General features: G+C 52.5%; 1 protein-coding gene across 3 annotated transcripts, besides 2 other annotated features; it reads left to right on the plus strand.

The window, feature by feature from the left end:
- Positions 2,776-3,473: an enhancer, noted in NCBI's record as "H3K4me1 hESC enhancer chr19:17905145-17905842 (GRCh37/hg19 assembly coordinates)". NCBI's record gives its function as "activates a minimal SCP1, AML or CMV promoter by ChIP-STARR-seq in primed H9 embryonic stem cells {active_cell/tissue: H9 hESC(primed)}" and the evidence as "EXISTENCE:reporter gene assay evidence [ECO:0000049][PMID:30033119]".
- B3GNT3 (UDP-GlcNAc:betaGal beta-1,3-N-acetylglucosaminyltransferase 3) lies at positions 3,231-22,016 on the plus strand. 3 transcript variants are annotated; one of them, XM_011527626.3, is made up of 3 exons: positions 3,231-3,323; positions 16,198-16,814; positions 20,011-22,016. In XM_011527626.3, exons 2-3 carry the CDS (start codon positions 16,248-16,250, stop codon positions 20,560-20,562), a joined length of 1,119 nt encoding a protein of 372 aa, XP_011525928.1. In that variant the 5' UTR covers positions 3,231-3,323; positions 16,198-16,247; the 3' UTR covers positions 20,563-22,016. The 3 variants fall into 3 exon arrangements, with proteins under 3 accessions (XP_011525928.1, XP_047293998.1, NP_055071.2); XM_047438042.1 differs by lacking the exon at positions 3,231-3,323 and adding an exon at positions 3,578-6,355; NM_014256.4 differs by lacking the exon at positions 3,231-3,323 and adding an exon at positions 3,578-3,646.
- Positions 3,474-4,171: an enhancer, noted in NCBI's record as "H3K4me1 hESC enhancer chr19:17905843-17906540 (GRCh37/hg19 assembly coordinates)". NCBI's record gives its function as "activates a minimal SCP1, AML or CMV promoter by ChIP-STARR-seq in primed H9 embryonic stem cells {active_cell/tissue: H9 hESC(primed)}" and the evidence as "EXISTENCE:reporter gene assay evidence [ECO:0000049][PMID:30033119]".

Consider the following 22,363-nt stretch of genomic DNA (forward strand, 5'->3'; position numbering starts at 1 on the left):
GCCACCCCCAGCTGATAAGTGGCCTAATTGGATTTTCTTTTGAGCTGAAATTCACAAAACAAAAAATGAACCACTTTAAAATGAACAATTCAGTGAGTTTCAGTATATTCATAATATGTGCAACCACACCCTTTATCTAATTTGTGCACATTTTCATCCCCTCCGAAAGGAAACCCTGTCCCCTTCAGCAGTCATGCCCCATTTCCCCTCCCACAGCTCCTGGCAACCACTAATTAGCTTCCTGTCTCTGTGGATTTGCCTGTTCTGGGCATTTCACATAAATGGAATCATACGACATGTGGCCTTTTGTGTCTGGCTTCTTTCACTCAGCATCGTGTTTTTTATTTCATCCCTGTTGTAGCAGGGATCAGGACTTCAATCTCTTATCAGGACTTCAATCTCTCTCTTTTTTTTTTTTTTTTGAGACAGAGTCTCGCTCTGTCATCCAGGCTGGAGTGCAGTGGCATGATCTGGGCTCACTGCAACCTCTGCTTCCTGGATTTGAGCAGTTCTCCTGCCTCAGCTCCCCGAGTAGCTGGGATTACAAGCATGCGCCACCATGCCCAACTAATTTTTGTATTTTTAGTAGAGAGGGATTTTGCCATGTTGGCCAGGCTGGTCTCGAACTCTTGACCTCAAGTGATCTGCCTGCCTCAGCCTCCCAAAGTGCTGGGATTACAGGCGTGAGCTACTGGCCAGGACTTCAGTCTTTCTGATGGCTGAAAAAGACTCCAGGCAGGGCACAGTGGCTCACACCTGTAACCCCAGCACTTTGGGAGGCTGAGGCGGGTGGATTGCTTGAGGTCAGGGGTTCAAGACCAGCCTGGGCAACATGGTGAAACCCCCGTCTCTACTGAAAATACAAAAAGTAGCCGGGCGTGGTGGCAGGTGCCTATAATCCCAGCTACTCGGGAGGCTGAGACAAGAGAGCTGCTTGAACCTGGGAGGTGGAGGTTGCAGTGAGCCAAGATCCTGCCACTGCACTCCAGCCTGGGTGACAGAGCGAGACTCTGTCTCAAAAAAAAAAAAAAAAACAAAAAAAAAAAAAACTCAAGACTCCACTGATGGACCACATGTTGTTTATCCATTCATCCACTGGACACTTGGGTGGGTGATCACCACCCAAGCAGCTGAAAAGAACACTGTGAATCATGCTGCTATGAACTTCCCTATGCAAGCATTTGTTTCAACACCTGTTTTCAACTCCTTTGGGTAGATACCTACAAGGGCAATGGCGGGATCATAGGGTCATTCTAGTCCGGATTTGAACCCGGGCCCTCCAGCACCAGAATTCACTCTATTGCGTCCAGTGAACCCCGGAAGCACCCGGTTTAAAAGGTCTGGGGGCTCAGGGTATCTGTATGTCTTACACATGGGAAAAGGGTGGGAGGGTTCAGTTTCCCTGGGTGAGTGGGGCGGGGCTAGAGCTCACATCCTCCCAGCAGCCTGAATTCTGGAGGGCCAGTACCTGGTGGAGGAGGGGATGGGCGGGGACCCTGTCACAGGATGGTACTTTTTTTTTTTTTTTTTTTTGAGATGGAGTCTCACTCTGTCGCCCAGGCTGGAGTGCAGTGGTGCGATCTTGGCTCACTGCAACCTCTGCCTCCCAGGTTCAAGTGATTCTCCTGCCTCAGCCTCCTGAGTAGCTGGGATTACAGGCGCCCGCCACCACACCTGGCTAATATTTTTGTTTTTTGTTTTTTTTTTTTTGAGATGGAGTCTCACTCTATCTCCCAGACTGGAGTGCCGTGGCATGATCTCTGCTCACTGCAACCTCCACCTCCTGGGTTCGAGTGATTCTCCTGCCTCAGCCTCCCGAGTAGGTGGGATTACAGGCACCCGCCAGTATGCCTGGCTAATTTTTGTATGTTTTAGTGGAGACGGGGTTTCTTCATGTTGGCCAGGCTGATCGCAAAGTCCTGACCTCAGGTGATCCCCTCACTTTGGCCTTTGGAAGGTGCTGGGATTACCGGCATGATCTGCCCACTTCGGCCTTCCAAAATGCTGAGATTATAGGGTTGAGCCACCCCGCCCGCCCAGGATGGGACTTTTGGTTCCGGCTCCTTCCCGGCCGACAAATCCCTTCCTGGGGCCATGACTTGGTGAACCCAGGGACCCAACAGGGTGAGCATAGACTCTGAATCAAAGTCCAAGGATGTACCACAGTAAGAAAGTGTGTGCATCCAGAACCGAGGCCAGTAGTGCCACATTTGACACTATGACATTTCCGGTAATTGCCCTCCATACAGTTTTAATCATGCATTTGCTCTGAGGGTTCACTCCCCAGACCTCTCCCATCCAGAGTACCCAGGGGCTATTTCTTACATTTTACAGGTGAGGAAACTGAGGCACAGACAGGCCACATATACACCTCGGCTTCCTCCTCGGGAAGAAACAGGGATGAAGGAGGAAGGAGGGGTTTCCTGAAACCATAGCCCAGCTCACACACCTGGACTTCCCCAACCCCAGAGCTCCCAACGCTGGGTCCAGGCTAGAATCTCCTAGAGATTCAGAGGCAGCACAGGGCAGGGTTCGAATCCTAGCCAACCCAACCCTAAAAATCTACAAATCTGAGGCCAGGTGCAGTGGCTCACATCTATAATCCAGCACCTTGGGGATCTGAGGCAGGAAGGTCACTTGAGGCCCACAGTTAAGACCAGCCTGGGCAACATATCAAAACCCCATATCTAGAAAAATGACAAAAATTAGCCAGGCATGCTGGCGGGTGCCTGTAGTCCCAGCTACTCGGGAGGCTGAGGTGGGAGGATTGCTTGAACTGGGGAGGTCGACATTGTAGCGAGCGGAGATCACACCACTGTACTCTAGCCTGGGTGACAAAGCGAGATCCTGTCTCTCAAAACAAGAAAAAAAGAAAAAGAAAAGACTACAAATCTGTCTGATTGTTGACTTCCAGAACCCTTCCAAATGCCAGCAGGTGGCATCTGGATGTCTGGGGGCACATCGTAGGTTTTCGGGTCCTGGAATTATTTTCAATATAGAGATGGAATCTCACTATGTTGCCCAGGCTGGTCTCAAACTCCTGGGTTCCAGCGATCCGCCCCCCTCGGCCTCTGGAAGTACAGGAGTGAGCCACTGCGCCGACCCCAGCTTCAGGAATCTTTGAACTCCCCGCAGAGAGCAGAGGTGCCGCAAGGTTTAACCTGCCTCCCTCCCTCCTTATCGCCATGGGCTTATCCAATCATTTCTTCACGGAACACACGTGGGCCAACGCTGACCGGGCTCTGTGCCAGGAACCCGCAAGGCGCTGCTTGTTCATCTCCAGCCACGGGGAGCTCATTCCCTAGCAGCGGGCCAGACCCAAGGTGGGGTCGTGAGCCCCGAGAGGGGCGAGGGTGGCAAGAGCGGGATGGCAGAGGTGGCAGCCGGGACCGGAGAGGGGAAGAGGCATGGCCGGGGAGGGAGGAGCCGGCAGAGAACTTCGCCTGGGCCACCAGGAAACTCAGCCGAGCTGGGAAGAGGGGGACTGGCAAGCGGCCAAGGCGGAGGGAGGCAGGAAGGCGTGAGGCCCGGTGGGAGGGAGGAAGCGGGAGAGGGGCGGGAGCTCTGGCTCAGGTAAAAACTCTTTCTTCGGCTCGCGAGCTGAGAGGAGCAGGTAGAGGGGCAGAGGCGGGACTGTCGTCTGGGGGTGAGTGTCGGCAGCCCCCGGAGGATCTGGCGGACCCCAGTGGTGGGGGTTTGGGGGTGGGGAAGTTGTGGCTCTGGAGAAGCCCCTGCCGGTCTCCACCGCGCATACCCTGCAGATGTGGGAACATTCGGGAGCCCCGAGTCTCGAGAACCCGGTTGCCCTCACCCATCCGTAATTGTCTCCGGCGTTCCCAAGGCCAGCTCGGACCTGGGTCGGGGAGGAAGCCTCCCCCACAGCTGGCGACCCGGGACCCCGGCGCCCCTCCCAGATTGGGCGGGATCAGACCCCCGAGGCGGATGCCGCTTAGTCAGACTTGGCTGTTACTGTTACCTGTGTTGTTGAGATTATTGGCCCCTTGGTTGGGAGTATCTGGGCAAGCCAGCGCTGGGGTCCCCGGTTGGGTTTGGGAACTGCAGGTGACCCCCAGTCTCTCCCTGCGGTTCCGGTGCTGCAGGCCCTGCCAGGTGGCTGGGCGGCATTCCAGGGGCCCTGGCTGCGTGGCATGGACACATTGCTGAACCGGCCTCAGTTTCCCCTCCGTGAGGTGGAACAATGAACCAGCTGGGATGAGGATGCCCGAAGCGTTTAGTCAAAGGAAATTTTTGTGATGAGGTGTACTGCTGGCCACTGGGGGCCCTTGCGTGACTGGCGTTAGGTCTCTGAGCCTCAGTTTCCCTGTGTGTTAAGGGGGGGTCTCATGGCATGGGACCTTGGCGAGGATGAGTTGAGTGGATAGGAGCTGTGGCCACTCAGTGGGTGCCCAGGGACAGTCAGCTGTCATCATAATTATATTAATTATGTCTGTAGCCACTGTTCAGATTCACTCCTGTTCCAAGAATCCCGACCATCTTTTCCTCTGGGTCAGATTTAAACTTTTTGTTTGTTTGTTTTATTTGTAGAGGTGGGGGACTCACTTTGTCACCCAGGCTGGAGTACAGTGGCTCCATGCACTGTATTCACTGCAGCCTCAACCTCCTGGGCTCAAGTGATCCTCCCACCTCAGCCTCCCGAGTAGCTGGGACTACAGGTGCACACCACAGGCAGCTAATTTTAAAATTTTTTTGTGTGTGGAGACGGGGTCTCACTATGTTGTCCAGGCTGGTCTCAAACTCCTGGGCCCAAGCAATCCTCCTGCCTTGGCATCTGAAAGTGCTGGGATTTCAGGCATGAGCCACTATGCCCAGCTCTGATTTTTTTAAATGGACACTTCTCAAGAGGAAACTGAGGTCGCCCCTCAACTTGGGCGGGGGACTCCTGCAGTCCAGATCTGGGATTCAGGGCCCATGGGAAGCCACCTGGCCGTCTAGGTCTGGGGCCAGCCCTGGGGGCCATCACTTCCTCCCACTGGCCTGTTCTCAAGGTGACACCAGGCAGGGCTGGTGTCAGGAGGAAGAGGTGTGGCCCCCAGGTCAGGCAGCTGGGCCCCCATATGGCCTAGGTGAGCAGTTGGGTGTTTGCTCAGTCCAGCCTGGACACCCTCCCTCACTCTCACCCCTAGGGTGTGGCATTTCCTGGCAGGTGCTCTGGGTGTGGGAGAACCAAAAGGGGGCCTTGGTGCTTCTCTGTTCCAGGCCAGAGTTCAGGAATCCAGACAAGCCAGGTCAGCCCAGGAGGAGCAAGTAAGGGCTCACTGAGTGACATTTCCTCCTGCCACCAGCCTCTGAGGCCCAGAGCAAGCAGGAATTTGCTCACTCCCCCAACCCCATGAGCCAGGGAGGATGCCTATTGTGGACCCTCTTCCTGGTGGGAATCTGGCTTGCCTTGATTGCTCCTCATGATGGTGAGGTCACTACCAACGTGGCAAACTAAAGGAAATCTCATCAGCTGGGAGTTAAAGACAGGAACTAGGCTCCCACCCAACCTTTCTTAGGTGGATTTCTAGGCCTCTCTGTGCCTCAATTTTCCTATCCATAAAAATGGAGCTAATGCAGCCCTACTTCTCAGCACACATATAGAGTTTAGATGGACAGATGGTGGCCAGGCTGCACACAGGACCTGGCATATTGATCCTAGTCCTAATTATGCAGCTCATTATGTTATCATTTATAGCATGTATCTTTGCACACAGAAATAATATCATGAATATTTCTGAGCTCTAAGTACAAGACTTGGAGAAGAGCTCTGACCAGCCTGAAGGTGTGGGGGTCCAGGAAGTCCCCAGAGGAGGGGCCCAGGAGACCTCAGTTCCCCCATCACTCCTGGATTGTGGGAAGGGTCTGAGGTTGAACTGCGATGCACGGCCTGGCTTCCCAGCCTGTTTCCCCATCTATGGAGTGAGCCCAAAGATGCCCTTTGAGACTCCACTGGGCCAGGGCTGGTGTTATTCAGGGGCCCCTTTCCAGTCTCACATAGGTGCCCCAGGCAGTTCCTGCAATGGGGTAGGGCTGGCATGGATGACATACAATTAGTCATCCATGACAGAGCCTCGGGACCTAGAAACCCGGGACACCAAAGTCTAAAGTGCATGTGTCACCGTGCCCAACCCCACCCCTTTTTCCATACCCAGGCACTCCCTGGTGCAGATATTGAGTATATATTGACAGAGAACTCACTAGTACACATGGTTTCACTAAAGCAGGGTCCGGCCATTGTGAACTTAAAGGATTTACTGGGCTATTTCTTCTTCTTTTCTTCCCCTTCTGTTTGCAAAAGCAACTCCTGCTCCTTGTAAAAAGGGACCAGCCTATCATTACTGGGAAACCCAAACTGGTAAGAACTGGTGAGGAACCACCCACAGGGGCTGGCAGATCAGGGTTCAAATCCCACCAACCCGCCCTGGCCTCAGTCGGCTGTGTGACCTTGGGCAGAGTTGCACCCTCTCTGCACAGATCGTCCACCTGGACCCTAGGCTCCCCTCTGGAAGGCTCAGTGAGACTCCTCGGGTTCCTCCACAGGCCAGGGGCTCACACCCTCTCCTGCAAGCGTCCCCAACTTCCACCCTGGAGTTTCTTCACCCCTAGAGGTTGCACTCCTCTGGAAAATTGTCCTGTTTGCCACTTCTCTGTCCCCTGTTAGTGGTGTATCAGCGTCCTGGGCACACGAGTGTTTCTCTCCATCATCTTGGCTGTGTCCTCGGAACCTAGACCCAGATGTGGCATACGCTAGGTGCTCAGCACTTGCTCAGAGCAGTCACAACTCTGCAGGTGATAAGGGTGGTGGCAGCTGCTATTAAATCTCATTGTGGCTGGGCGTGGTGGCTAACACCTGTATTTCCAGCACTTTGGGAGACCGAGGCGGGTGGATCACCTGAGGTCAGGAGTTTGAGACCAGCCTAGGTGACGTGGTGAAACCCCATCTCTACTAAAAATACAAAAATTAGCTGGGCATGGTAACGCACACCTGTAATCCCAGCTTCTCTGGAGGCTGAGACAGGAGAATCGCTTGAACCCTGGAGGCAGAGGTTGCAGTGAGCCAAGATAGCACCACTGCACTCCAGCCTGGGCAACAGAGTGCGGCTCTGTCTCAAAAAAAAAAAAATCTAATTGTGGCTGGGTGCAGTGGCTCACAACTGTAATCCCTGCACTTTGGGAGGCTGAGGTGGGAGGATCACTTGAGCCCAGGAGTTGGAGACCAGCCTGGGCAACATAGCGAGACCCATCTCTACAAAAATGAAATTAGCCAGGGGTGGTGATGCATGCCTGTGGTCCCAGCTACTCAGGAGGCTGAGGCAAGAGGATCAGTTGAGCCCTGGAGTTGGAGGCTGCAGTGAGCTATGATCGTGCCACTGCACCACTCCAGCCTGGGTGACAGAGCAAGATCCTGTCTCAAGAAAAGAAAAAAAAAATCTCATTGTTGGCGCTTCACATATGTGCCACTTGGAGAAAAGGCCACTGCTTGGAGCTACCACTTGACCCTCTAGCCTTTCCCAGGACTCAAATCCGTATGTAGTCAAACGGGATTCTTCCAGAAGCTTCTCTCACCCTCCACCTCTTGCCTTGCCTTTTGGCGGCCTCAGAATGTTCCACACCTCCATCCAAATCCCAATTTAGGATGGGTGAGAATTGGAGAAACAGCGGCCACAGCAATGCTGATAGTCAGGTGGTGGTTCTGCCACCATTCCAGCTTTTTTTTTTTTTTTTTTTTTGAGATGGAGTCTCATTTACCCGGGCTGGAGTGCAGTGGCGCAATCTCGGCTCCCTGTAACCTCCACCTCCTGGGTTCAAGCGATTCTCCTGCCTCAGGCTCCTGAGTAGCTGGGATTACAGGCGCCCTCCACTATACCTAGCTAATTTTTTGTATTTTTAGTAGAAATGGGGTTTCACCATGTTGGCCAGGCTGGTCTCGAACTCCTGACCTCATGATTCGCCCGCCTCTGCCTCCCAAAGTGCTGGGATTACAGGTGTGAGCCACCGAGCCCGGCTGACCATCCCAGCTTTGCAGAGGAGGATGCTAAGGTCTGGGTGGCCCCAGCTACTCGGCCCAGGTCCCATGGAAGGTCAGTAGCTGGGTCAGAAGGCCCTTCCTCAACGGCTGTCGGGGGTCCCCATGGCTGCTTCAAAGGCATCAGCTCACAGACCAGTCCTCCCAGCTGCAGGCAAGGCAGAGACTGAGAGCCAGCGACCAGGCTGGTTAGGGGTATCCAGGCCGGTTAGGGGTATCCAGGCCTGGGAGTCCCTGAAGAGCAATCCAGAAGTAGCCCTATCTGGGCCTCAGTTTCCTCATCTGGAAAGTGGGAGTTTCACAGGGAGAATTACCTTAATGCTATGGAGACCTCTGAGTCAGTGTCAGGACATCCCCCGCCCCCTGTGCCACTCCCCATCACCTGTGGTCTCCAAATAGTCTTGGGAGTGAGGGGGGCAGATCTAGCCCCAGGTGGTACCAGCAGGGTCCTTGATGACTTTCACATGCCCCACATCTCTTGCAGACAGTGACAAGAACAGGGTTGAGACTGGGCGCAGTGGCTCACTCCTGTAATCCCAGCACTTTGGGAGGCCGAGGCGGGCAGATCACTTGAGGTCAGGAGTTCGAGACCAGCCTGGCCAACGCGCTGAAACCCCGTCTTTACTAAATATACAAAAATTAGCTGGGTGTGGTGGCGCACACTTGTAATCTCAGCTACTTGGGAGGCTGAGGCAGGAGGATCGCTTGAAACCAGGAGGCGGAAGTTGCAGTGAGCCAAGATCACACCACTGCACTTCAGCCTGGGGGACACAGCAAGCGAGACTCTGTCTCCAGAATAAAACCAAAGAAACAGGGATGAGGGCGACAGAGGTGCCTGGAGCCACTTGCACCTGGGGCAAGGGCCCAGCCTTGACTGCCCCCTGGGAGTGGCAGAGGACATGGGGCCAGGGTGCAGCTGCCAATGCCTACGATTCTGCTGAGCAGACAACCCTTCTGCATATTTAGTGGTCATTAATTTTCAATGAGTCATTAATACTTAGTATCACCTGTGCATTGAAGCATGAATATTCAGTGACCATGAATATTTGGTATCTGAAGACTGTTTGTGGCTTGTTAATATTCCTCATGATACTATTAGGCCGGGCGAGGTGGCTCATGCCTGTAATCCCAGCACTTTGGGAGGCTGAGGTGGGTGGATCACCTGAGATTAGGAGTTTGAAACCAGCCTGGCCAACATGGTGAAACTCTGTCTCTACTAAAAATACAAAAATTAGCCGGGTGTGGTGGTACATGCCTGTAATCCCTGCTACTCAGGAGGCTGAGGCAGGAGAATCACTTGAACCCAGGAGGGTGCAACCTCCAGGTTGCAGTGAGCTGAGATCGTGGCGCTGCACTTCAGCCTGGGCGACAGAGGCTCTATCTAAAATATATATATGTATATATATATATTCCTCATGATAATATTCAAGTATCATGTATGTGACTTGCAACTTTAAAAAAAATTCAGTATATTTGGGCACAACTTGCAACTTTTCATTATTGCTTTGCAACTATTTTGTATATTACGAATAGTAGGCACCTCCTCTGTAGTTAATGGATTGTTAATGTTCAGTACTTCACTAACATGCAGCACTTTTTTTGTTTGTTTGTTTGTTTTGTTTTTGAGACAGGGTCTTGCTCTGTTCCCCAGGCTGGAGTACTGTGGCGAGATCATGGCTCACTGCAGCCTTGACCTCCTGGGCTCAAGCGATCCTCCCACCTCAGCCTCCCAAGTAGCCAGGACTACAGGCGCACACCACCATGCCCGGCTAATTTTTGTATTTTTTGTAGAGATGGGGTTTTGCCATCTTGCCCAAACTCTTGGGCTCAAGTGATCCTTCCTTCTCAGCCTCTCAAACAGCTGGGATTACAGGTACAAGCCACCATACCCAGCTGTTTTTTGTTTTTTTGTTTTGAGACAGGATCTTGCTCTGTTGCCCAGGCTGGAGTGCAGTGGTGCTATCATAGCTCACTGCAGCCTTGAACTCCTGGGCTCAAGCGATTCTCCTGCCTCAGCTTCCCAAGTAGCTGGGACTACAGGTGCACGCCACCACACCTGGCTAATTTTTACACTTTTTGTAGAGACAGAGTCTCACCATGTTGCCCAGGCTGGTCTTGAACTCTTGGGCTCAAGTGATCCTCCCACCTCAGCCTCCTGAGTAGCTGGGACTATAGGCACTCACCACCACCACACCAGGCTAATTAAAAAAATTTTTTTTGGCTGGGCATGGTGGCTCACGCCTGTAATCCCAACACTTTGGGAGGCTGAGGTGGGCGGATCACTTGAGGTCAGGAGTTTGAGACTAGCCTGCCCAACATGGTGAAACCCCGTCTCTACTAAAAATACCAAAAGTAGCCAGGCGTGGTGGCACATGCCTGTAGTCCCAGCTATTCAGGAGGCTGAGGCAGGATAATCGCTTGAACCTGGGAAGCGGGGGTTGCAGTGAGCTGAGATCATGCCATTGCACTCCAGCCTGGGTGACCTAGCAAGATTCTGTCTCCAAAAAAAAAAAAAAATCATTGTAGAGACAGGGTCTTGCTGTGTTACCCAGGCTGGTCTTGAGCACCTAAGCTCAAGTGATCCTCCTGCCTCAGCCTCCTAAAGCACTGGGATTACAGGTGACTTATCTTGACTGAATCACGGGTGCCCAAGGCTTACTAGTCTCCCAAGCTATAAATCTGTCTTCTGAGGCAGAACGTGTGCGGCAGGGGACTGTGGCTGCTGCCTCGTGGAGTGGGGGCGAGGCTGCAGTGAGATAGGAGGTGATGGCTATCGTACTTTTTCCCTTCTGCAACAAACTAGGTAGCATCCTGTGGGAGCACAGTTGCAGGAGATAAGATGCCCAGCCCTGGGGCTTCAGGCTGGCTGGGCAGATGGACAGGAGAGAAGCGAAGAGATTTCCCATGTCTGATGGTGGTGAATGCTACAGACATCAGCAGTGCTGGGGCTAGGTGTTTTAGCCTGGAGGTCGAAGCCTCTCGGAGGTGACATTTCAGGGGAAGCCTAAATATGAAGACTACGGAAAGAGCTGGAAAGGAAGGGGGTCCTAGGTGGAGGCAGTGGCAGGTGCAAAGGCCCTGAGGCAGGGCTGAGCTTGGGTGGTTTTTGTTTGTTTTGAGACAGGGTCTCGCTTTGCCACCAGGCTGGAAGTGTGATCACAGCTCCCTGCAGCCTCCACTTCCAGGGCTCAAGTGATCCTCCCACCTCAGCCTCCCGAGTAGCTGGGACTAAAGGCATACACCACCATACTCAGCTAATTTTTTTACTTTTTTTTTTAATTTTTAGCACAGACAGGTCTCCCTTTTTTGCCCAGGCTGGTCTTGAACTCCTAGGCTCAAGCAACCCTCTTGCTTCAGCCTCCTAAAGTGCAAGGATTATAGGCATGAGCTACTGCATCCAGCCTGAGCCTGGGTGTTAAAGGATTTTTTTTTTTTTTGAGACAGAATCTGGCTATATTGCCCAGGCTGGCGTGCAGTGGCACGATCTCGGCTCACTGCAACCTCCACCTCCTGGATTCAAGTGATTCTCCTGCCTCAGCCTCCTGAGTAGCTGGGATTACAGGCGTGTGCCACCACACCTGGCTAATTTTTGTATTTTTAGTAGAGACAGAGTTTCACCATGTTGGCCAGGCTGGTCTCAAACTCCTGACCTCAGGTGATCTGCCCTCCTTGACCTCCCAAAGTACCGGGATTACAGACGTGGGCCACAGCTCCCGGCCATGTTTAAGGAGGCTGGTGCAGCTGGAGCAGATGAGTGAGGGCAGAGATTGTGTGGGAAAGATGGCAGCAGAGAGGACCCACATCCTGCAGCCACACCCCAGGCGGTGGCTTCTGGGTCTTGGCAGGGGAAATAAATGGCTTTTCTGTGCATTTGAGGAAGTGGGTTCTGGAGGATGGCAAAATCGCACTGGCACGTGAAGTGCAAACAGCTCCAGGCAGGACCGACTGGTCTGGCAGCGGGCGGCCAGGCGAGGGTCCCCAAGAGTCAGCCTGGATGTCACTGCTGGACACTGGTGGCACCGTGTCTGGCTTGGGGTGAAGTTTTTTCACCCACCTTGAACAGGAGTGCAGGGTAGGCGCTGTAACATGCAGGGAACATATGACAATTGCCTGTTGGCACCAGGCATGGTGACTGGTGCCTGTGGTCGCAGCTACTCAAGAGGCTAAGGCAGGAGGATCACTTGAGCCCAGGAGCTGGAGGCTGCAGTGAGCTATGATCGCCACTGCACTCCAGCCTGGACAACAGAGCAAGTGAGATCCTATCACTAAAAAAAAAAAAAAAAAATTTTTAATTAGCTGGCAAGGTGGCTTATGTCTGTAATCCCAGCGCTTTGGGAAGCCAAGGCAAGAGGATTGCTTGAGGCCAGGAATTCAAGACCAGCCTGGACAACATAGTGAGACCCTGTCTCTTAAAACACAGCACACACAATCAATACCTGTTGGGCCTTCCTGGCTTATAGGCCATGGTGTGCCAACAGCTCTCACCTGGATACCAGACTGAGCCTCCCACTGCCCAGAGGTTCCTCATTCTGCTCCTTCTGGTCCTTCTTTTTCCACCCCCTAACATCTGGACATCTGGGCTGTGATCGAAACATTGATGACTTTCTTCATCTTATTTTCCTTTTTTTTTTCTTTTCTTTCTTTCTTTTTTTTCTTTTTTTTTTTTTTTTTGAGACAGAGTCTTGTTCTATCGCCCAGGCTGGAGTACAATGGCTTGATCTTGGCTCACTGCCACCTCCGCCTCCCAGATTCAAGTGATTCTACTGTCTCAGCCTCCTGAGTAGCTGGGATTACAGACACGCACCACCACACCCGGGTAATTTTTGTATTTTTAGTAGAGATGGGGTTTTGCCATGTTGGCCAGGCTGATCTCGAACTCCTGAGCTCAAGTGATTGCCTCGGCTTCCCAAAGTGCTGAGATTACAGGCGTGAGCCACCGTGCCCAGCTTTTTTTTTTTTTTTTTTTTTTGAGACATAGTCTTGCTCTGTTGCCCAGGCTGGAGTGCAGTGGTGTGATCTTGGCTCACTGCAACCTCCGCCTCCTGGGTTCAAGCGATTTTCCTTCCTCAGCCTCCTGAGTAGCTGGGATTACAGGCATGAGCCATGAGCCACCACGCCCTGCTAATTTTTGTATCTAATATTTTGTATTTAGTAGAGACGGGGGTTTCACCATGTTGGCCAGGCTGGTCTCGAACTCCTGACCTCAGGTGATCCACCACTTTGGCCTCCCAAAGTGCTGGGATGACAGCTGTGAGCCACTGCACCCAGCCCTTCACCTTATTTTCTAAACCTGCATACTCTCCTATACCCCAGCAGCCAGCCTCTGTCTAGGCCACCAAACTCTTCCACCTAGATGTTACCCAATCTCCCCCCACCCAGCCTCCTGAGTAGCTGGGACTACAGGTGTACACCACCACACTCAGCTAATTTTGTTTCATTTTTTTATTTAGCAGAGACAGGGTCTCCCTTAGTTGCCCTGCCCTGACTGAAATGTCCCTAATCCCTTAGTGACCACAGGGATTTTTTTTTTTTTTTTTAATGACAGTCTCTCTCTGTTGCCCAGGCTGGAGTGGTGTGATTATAGCTCACTGCAGCCTCAAACTCCTGGGGTCAGGCAATCCTCCCACCTCAACCTCCCGCATAGCTAGGACTACAAGTATGCATCATCACGCCGGCTAACTTTTGTATTTTGGGTAGAGATGGGGTTTCACCATGTTGCCCAGGCTGGTCTCAAACTCCTAAGCTCAAGCGATCCTCCTACCTCAGCCTCCCAGAGTGCTGGGATTATAGGCCTGAGCCACCTTGCCCAGCCCACAGGGGACTTCTTAAAGGCATAAATCAATCTGATCCCTCCCCTGCTCATAGACCCTCCATGGCTCCTCATTGCTTCTCACAGGAAACATAAGACATTCTTTCTGGCGTGCCCATTCTATTCTTGTACCCTAGCAGGGTCCCATAACTCCACCATCACCTCCTTTCTCTCGCCCTGTCCCAACCACGTCAGCCTCCTCGCTCTGCCACCAGCACCCTAAATTTGTATCCATCTCAGGGCCTTTGCACATGCTCCACTCTGTCTGGAATGCCCTTCCCCACAGTCTGCTCAAGTGAATTCCCATCATCCTTCAGGACCTCCCTGATCCTAGGTTGCTCAGGTCCCCTGTGGACCTGCCTCAGTAACAATTAGTATGGCTGTCACTAATTGTTAGTATCATTTACAATTTTTTTTTTTGAGACAGCATCTTGCTCTGTTGCCCAGGCTGGAGTGCAGTGGTGTGATCATAGCTCACTGCAGCCTTGAACTCCTGGGCTCAGGTGGTCCTCCCACCTCAGCCTCCCAAGTAACTGAGACCTCAAGCACATGCTACCACAGCCTGCTAATTTTTTGTTTTGTTTTGTTTTGAGACAGAGTCTTTCTCTGTCATCCAGGCTGGAGTGCAATGGTGTGATCATAGCTCACTGCAGCCTCCACCTCCTGGGTTCAAGTGATTTTCCTGCCTCAGCCTCCCGAGTAGTTGGGACTACAGGCACCCATCACCATGCCTGGCTAATTTTTGTATTTTCTTTTTTTTTTTTTTGTAGAGAGTGGGTTTCCCCATGTTGGCCAGGCTGCTGTTGAACTCCTGACCTCAAGTAATCCACCTGCCTTGGCTTCCTAAAGTGTTGGGATTATGGGTGTGAGCCACTGCGCCCAGCCTAATTTTTGTGTTTTTTGTAGAGACGGGGTTTCACCATGCTGCCCAAGCTGTTCTACTTATTGTTATATTGAGGGCAGGGCTGGCTTGGTCACAGCTGTATCCCCAGCATCTAGCATACAGTAGGTGCTCAGTTAACACTCTAGGGCTGATGAGCACTGTGACAGTTAACAGGATTGGACTCATGCACGTTCACGGATATTCACCTGTCTGTGCCCCAGGTGGCCGAGAGTTGGCCAGGTTCTCTTTGAGGGATGTTTGGTGCCATCCATGACGCAGTCCCTTGTGACAGATTCTGGGAGGCCCTGAGGTGTTGGAAGGGAGTCTCCCAGTGACCCCGAGTTGAGGGACGTATGAGATGGGCATACTGCACCCATCAAAGTTCTGGGTTCCGGCTGGGGACGGTGGCTCATGCCTGTAATCCCAGCACTTTGGAAGGCTAAGGTGGGCAGATCATGAGGTCAGGAGATCGAGACCATCCTGGCCAACACGGTGAAACCTTGTCTCTCCTAAAAATACAAAAATTAACTGGGCGTGGTGGCGCGTGCCTGTAGTCCCAGCTACTCTGAAAGATGAGGCAGGAGGATCGCTCGTATGCAGGAGGCGGAGGTTGAAGTGAGCCGAGATTGTGCCACTGTATTCCAGCCTGGGCAACTCCATCTCAAGAAAAAAAAAAAAAAAAAAAAGTCCTGGGTTCTGATACTGCTCCATGCTGTAAGTGGGAATAGCTGGGGAATCAAGGTAGCCAGGATGGTGGACTCATGGTCACTGAGGCGGTCACCACACAGCTAATATGCATCAAGCCCTTTTGCAGTCAGGGAGCAGTGGCCCCAGTGTGTGTGTGTGTGTGTGTGTGTGTGTGTGTGTATTGGAGCAGGAACCTCAGCACCCCCATGTCCTAATAAGGAAACTAAGACTTCACACAGAAAGGCAGGGCACAGTGACTCATGCCTGTCATCCCAGCCCTTTGGGAGGCCGAGGCAGGTGGATCACTTGAGGTCAGGAGTTCAAGACCAGCCTGGCCAACATGGTAAAACCCCGTCTCTACTAAAAATACAAAAAAATTAGCCAGGCATGGTGGCTCACACCTGTAATCCCAGCTACTCAGGAGGCTGAGGCAGGAGGATCGCTTGAACCCATGAGGTGGAGGCTGCAGTAAGCGGAAATTACACCACTGCACTCCAGCCTGGGCAACAGAACAAGAGAGAGAGAGAGAGAGAGACGCTGTCTCAAAAAAAAAAAACAAAATTAAAAAATTTAAAAAATTAATCCCCAGCAGGGAGGGCCAGGGCACCTGTCAGAGCCAACAGGGGTTGGAGTGCTTTGAAATGGGTCTTGCAAGGGGTGGAGGAGTTAAGTGGGGGGTGAATTTCAATATTTTGCCAACCTGAGCAACTGTACAGGTGCAACCAGATGTTGGGGGCCACAGGAAAAGCGCTTTGCTCATGGCGAGTGTTCAGTGAGTTTTGTTTTCCACAGGAGCCGCCCAGGAGGCTCCTCAGGCCGACCCCAGACCCTGGCTGGCCAGGATGAAGTATCTCCGGCACCGGCGGCCCAATGCCACCCTCATTCTGGCCATCGGCGCTTTCACCCTCCTCCTCTTCAGTCTGCTAGTGTCACCACCCACCTGCAAGGTCCAGGAGCAGCCACCGGCGATCCCCGAGGCCCTGGCCTGGCCCACTCCACCCACCCGCCCAGCCCCGGCCCCGTGCCATGCCAACACCTCTATGGTCACCCACCCGGACTTCGCCACGCAGCCGCAGCACGTTCAGAACTTCCTCCTGTACAGACACTGCCGCCACTTTCCCCTGCTGCAGGACGTGCCCCCCTCTAAGTGCGCGCAGCCGGTCTTCCTGCTGCTGGTGATCAAGTCCTCCCCTAGCAACTATGTGCGCCGCGAGCTGCTGCGGCGCACGTGGGGCCGCGAGCGCAAGGTACGGGGTTTGCAGCTGCGCCTCCTCTTCCTGGTGGGCACAGCCTCCAACCCGCACGAGGCCCGCAAGGTCAACCGGCTGCTGGAGCTGGAGGCACAGACTCACGGAGACATCCTGCAGTGGGACTTCCACGACTCCTTCTTCAACCTCACGCTCAAGCAGGTGCGCTGGACTGGGGTCACCTGATCGGGGCCACCTGTCCTTCTTGTCCAAATTACCACCCACTCCTGAGGGACCCAGGGGACCAGAAGTCCTCGTCAGTCCATCACAGCCCATTCTGCCCCTCTGCTGTCCTCACCAGCCTCGTGGAGACCCAAAATGGTCTTCTTCTAGGAGAGGCTAGGGGGAAGGGCAGAGGAGCTAGGTTACTAGCACAGAGCTCAAGCCTGATGATGCGGATTCGAATCCAAGCTCTGCCTCTTACTTGGTGTTCGACCTTGGAGGAGTTCATTCACCTCTCTGTGCCTCACTTTTCTCACCTGGAAAATGGGATGTGAATGAGTCCCACCCACCTCTAAGGGCTACTGTGAGGTTTACAGGAGATGGAGTTTATAAGGCACCCAGACCAGTGCTGGATGTCCAACTCAACTTGGCAATGACGGGGGACACATCTCCTTGTTTATTTTTATGTTTATTTATTTTTTTTTAATGGAGTCTTGCTCTGTTGCCCAGCCTGGAGTGCAGTGGTGCGATCTGGGCTTGCTGCAACCACCTCCTGGTTTCCGGCGATCCTACTGCCTCAGCCTCCCAAGTAGCTGGGATTACAGGCACTCACCATGCCCAGCTAATTTTTGTATTTTGAGTAGAGACGGGGTTTCACCCTGTTGGCCAGGGTAATCTCGAACTCCTGACCTCAGGTGATCTTCCCGCCTCGGCCTCCCAAAGTGCTGGGATTACAGGCGTGAGCCACTGCGCCCGGCCAACATCTCCTTGTTTATTTGTTCCGGTTCTGTCTCCCCATGAGGCTGGGGGCCTTGTCTGTTTCACTCACTGCTGTGTCCCTAATGCCTAGAATAGATTCAGGTGCACAGCATGTGCTCAGTCAAGACCTTTTTGATGGACAAGAACCCATGAGAGGTAGCTAGGCTTGGTGGCTCATGCCTGTAATCCCAGCACTTTGGGAAGCTGAGGAGGGAGGATCGCTTGAGCCCAAGAGTTTGAGGCCAGCCTGAGCCACATAGCGAGACCTCATCTTTTTCAAAAAAAATTTAATTAATTAATTTTTATGTTTTTTTAATTAATTTTTTTTTTTTGGATGGAGTCTGGCTCTGTCCCCCAGGCTGGAGTGCAGTGGTGCAATCTCGGCTCACTGCAACCTCCACCTCCCAGGTTCAAGTGATTCTCCTGCCTCAGCCTCCTGAGTAGCTGGGAATACAGGTGCATGCCACTATGCCCAGCTAATTTTTTTGTACTTTTAGCAGAGATGGGGTTTCACCATGTTGGCCAGGCTGGTCTCAAACTCCTGACCTCAAGTGATCCTCCTGCCTTGGCCTCCCAAAGTGCTGGGATTACAGGTATGAGCCACCACGCACAGCCTCGTCTCTATTTTTTTAAAAAAAGAAGCCATGAGAGGTGAGAAAATCCTGCCCATCTGCAGATGAGGAAATGGAGGGGCTCTAAGAACCCCTCCTAGGTCCTCGAGTAGAGCAAGACAAGTAGAGACAACATTTTCAAGGAGGAACAGGGAACTCTGCAGGTTCCTGCTCATAGGAGGTACAGACAGGCCTGGGTTCAAGTCCTCTGGTAGCTGTTTCTCTGCGGGTGACCTCACTGCAGTTTTCTCTGGAGAGCCTCTGTTCCCTCATCTGTAAATAAGATAGAGGACCACTTCTGCCTCCTAAGGGTGCATTCAGGATTCAAGGTAGGGTAAGCACCAAGCACAGCGCCCGGCAACAAACAGATACCCAGCCTGTGTAGGTTACTGTAGGGGAAACTGAGGCTGAGGCGGGTAGGGGCCATGGCCTCTTAACATGCTGTGTTCTGAAAACACAAAAGTGGCTAGGCACAGTGGCTCATGCCTATAATCCCAGCACTTTGGGAGGCTGAGGTGGGCGGATCACTTGAGACCAGGAGTTCGAGACCAGCTTCTTGGGAGGCTAAGGCAGCAGGATCGCTTGAACCCTGGAGGCGGAGGTTGGAGTGAGTTAAGATTGTGCCACTGCACTCCAGCCTGGGTGACAGAGTGAGACTCTGTCTCAAAAACAAAAACAAAAAACCCTTTAAAAGTGTGTGATAAACATCAGCTTGACAAATATGAACCCAGCACCCGTGAAGCACTGGCACTATGCTGGGTGCTGAGGGAGATGGCATGAACAGAAAAGAGAGACACAGGCCCAAGGAGGGAAGTCCAGTGTTTGGTGGGAGAGGGGGATGTTAACAATCACACAGGTCAGGCACGGTGGCTCACACCTGTAATCCCAGCACTTTGGGAGGCTGAGGCAGGTGGATCACCTGAGGTCAGGAGTTCAAGACCAGCCTGACCAACATGGTGAAACCCTGTCTCTACTAAATACAAAAAATTAGCCAGGTGTGGTGGTGCATGCCTGTAATCCCAGCTACTTGGGAGGCTGAGGCAGAAGAATTGCTTGAACCTGAAAGGCGGAGGTTGCAGTGAGCCGAGATTGCACCACTCCACTCCAGCCTGGGCAACAAAAGCGAAAACTCCATCTCCAAAAAAATAATAATAATAATAATAAAATAAAAATCACACAAAGGCCAGGAGTGGTGGCTCATTGCTTGTAATGTCAGCATTTTGGGAGGCTGAGGTGGGAGGATCCTTTGAGGTCTGGAGTCTGAGACCAGCCTGCGTAGCATAGCAAGATCCCATCTCTTAAAAAAAAAAAAATTATTAGCCAGGAGTAAGTAGCGGCATGTGTCTGTAGTACCAGCTACTTGGGAGGCTGAGGTGGAAGGATCACCTGAGCCCGGGAATTTGAGGCTGCAATGAACTATGATCATAGCGCTACACTCTAGCCTGGGCAATAGAGCAAGACCCTGTCTCAGAAACAAACAAAATTCATACAAATGATTATTTAACAACAGGGCTTGGCCAGGCAGAGTTGGAAGGAATAGCAATACATGTAAATGTAACAATTTTCCAGCATTTCTTGGTGCTTCATGGAGCATGGTCTCCATGGATTCCCCAACACTCCTAGAGGCACATGATAAGGCCTGTTTGGAGAGTTGAAACCAAGGCACAGAGAGGGTTTCCCAAGTAACCCCACAGGGCAGGGCCTTAACCCAGGCTGGATTGTGGACACTTCCTTTCCTGGGCTTAGTGGGCTGGAGTGGCTAATAGAGACCCAAGGCCAATTTCTCCAGCCCTCAAGCAAGCATGCCCTGTCCACCCTGCCTGCAGGTCCTGTTCTTACAGTGGCAGGAGACAAGGTGCGCCAACGCCAGCTTCGTGCTCAACGGGGATGATGACGTCTTTGCACACACAGACAACATGGTCTTCTACCTGCAGGACCATGACCCTGGCCGCCACCTCTTCGTGGGGCAACTGATCCAAAACGTGGGCCCCATCCGGGCTTTTTGGAGCAAGTACTATGTGCCAGAGGTGGTGACTCAGAATGAGCGGTACCCACCCTATTGTGGGGGTGGTGGCTTCTTGCTGTCCCGCTTCACGGCCGCTGCCCTGCGCCGTGCTGCCCATGTCTTGGACATCTTCCCCATTGATGATGTCTTCCTGGGTATGTGTCTGGAGCTTGAGGGACTGAAGCCTGCCTCCCACAGCGGCATCCGCACGTCTGGCGTGCGGGCTCCATCGCAACGCCTGTCCTCCTTTGACCCCTGCTTCTACCGAGACCTGCTGCTGGTGCACCGCTTCCTACCTTATGAGATGCTGCTCATGTGGGATGCGCTGAACCAGCCCAACCTCACCTGCGGCAATCAGACACAGATCTACTGAGTCAGCATCAGGGTCCCCAGCCTCTGGGCTCCTGTTTCCATAGGAAGGGGCGACACCTTCCTCCCAGGAAGCTGAGACCTTTGTGGTCTGAGCATAAGGGAGTGCCAGGGAAGGTTTGAGGTTTGATGAGTGAATATTCTGGCTGGCGAACTCCTACACATCCTTCAAAACCCACCTGGTACTGTTCCAGCATCTTCCCTGGATGGCTGGAGGAACTCCAGAAAATATCCATCTTCTTTTTGTGGCTGCTAATGGCAGAAGTGCCTGTGCTAGAGTTCCAACTGTGGATGCATCCGTCCCGTTTGAGTCAAAGTCTTACTTCCCTGCTCTCACCTACTCACAGACGGGATGCTAAGCAGTGCACCTGCAGTGGTTTAATGGCAGATAAGCTCCGTCTGCAGTTCCAGGCCAGCCAGAAACTCCTGTGTCCACATAGAGCTGACGTGAGAAATATCTTTCAGCCCAGGAGAGAGGGGTCCTGATCTTAACCCTTTCCTGGGTCTCAGACAACTCAGAAGGTTGGGGGGATACCAGAGAGGTGGTGGAATAGGACCGCCCCCTCCTTACTTGTGGGATCAAATGCTGTAATGGTGGAGGTGTGGGCAGAGGAGGGAGGCAAGTGTCCTTTGAAAGTTGTGAGAGCTCAGAGTTTCTGGGGTCCTCATTAGGAGCCCCCATCCCTGTGTTCCCCAAGAATTCAGAGAACAGCACTGGGGCTGGAATGATCTTTAATGGGCCCAAGGCCAACAGGCATATGCCTCACTACTGCCTGGAGAAGGGAGAGATTCAGGTCCTCCAGCAGCCTCCCTCACCCAGTATGTTTTACAGATTACGGGGGGACCGGGTGAGCCAGTGACCCCCTGTAGCCCCCAGCTTCAGGCCTCAGTGTCTGCCAGTCAAGCTTCACAGGCATTGTGATGGGGCAGCCTTGGGGAATATAAAATTTTGTGAAGACTTGGAGATCTTTTTTTTTTTTTAAGCAAATTTACAAGTTTCAACAGACAAGTCCACATTCATCCCTAAAAGTCTCATTTTCCAGTAGAAAATATACACTGGTAAAAACGGGGCATGGGGCCGTGGCTCAGGGCTGTAATTCTAGCACATTGGGAGACCAAAGTGGGAGGATCACTTGAGCCCAGGAGTTCTGGATCCTGTCTCTGCACAAAATAAAAAATTACTCAGGCGTGGTGGTGCTCACATGCCTGTAGTCCCAGCTATACTTGGGAGGCTGAGGCGAGAGGATCGCTTGAGCCCAGGAGTTGGAGGCTGCAGTGAACCATGATTGCGCCACTGTACTCCACTGGGCGGCAATAAGAAGACAAAAACATAAAACAGGACATGTGTGAGGCAAAAGCTGCAGGAATTTCTATCAGGCAGATCTGACCTCATCCCACCCACCCCCTGCTCAGATACCCTTCATAGCTCCTTATTGCTTTCAGCTCATAACCCCACATATCCCCACAGACAGATTCTTTTTTTTTTTTTTTAAGACGGATTCTCATTCTGTTGCCCAGGCTGGAGTGTAGTGGCGTGATCTCGGCTCATTGCAACTTCCGCCTCCCAGATTCAAACAATTCTCCTGCCTCAGCCTCCCAAGTAGCTGGGATTACAGGTTACAGGCATGTGCCACCATGTCCAGCTAATTTTTGTATTTTTGATAGAGACGGCATTTCACCATGTTGCCCAGGATGGTCTCAAACTCCTGACCTCAAGTGATCCACCCGCCGGCCTCCCAAAGATGCTGGGATTACAGGCGTGAGCCACAGTGCCTGGCCAGCCAAAGATAGATTCTTGCTTCCAG

The sequence above is a fragment of the Homo sapiens genome, chromosome 19 (genome assembly GCF_000001405.40).
Source record: "Homo sapiens chromosome 19, GRCh38.p14 Primary Assembly".
NCBI lineage: Eukaryota > Metazoa > Chordata > Mammalia > Primates > Hominidae > Homo > Homo sapiens.

Bases quoted from the DNA above. Each gene is read 5' to 3' on its own strand.
- B3GNT3 (XM_011527626.3), top strand. From the start codon at position 16,248: ATGAAGTATCTCCGGCACCGGCGGCCCAATGCCACCCTCATTCTGGCC. The intron at 16,815-20,010 runs GTGCGCTGGACT...CCCTGCCTGCAG, and splicing joins TCAACCTCACGCTCAAGCAG to GTCCTGTTCTTACAGTGGCA.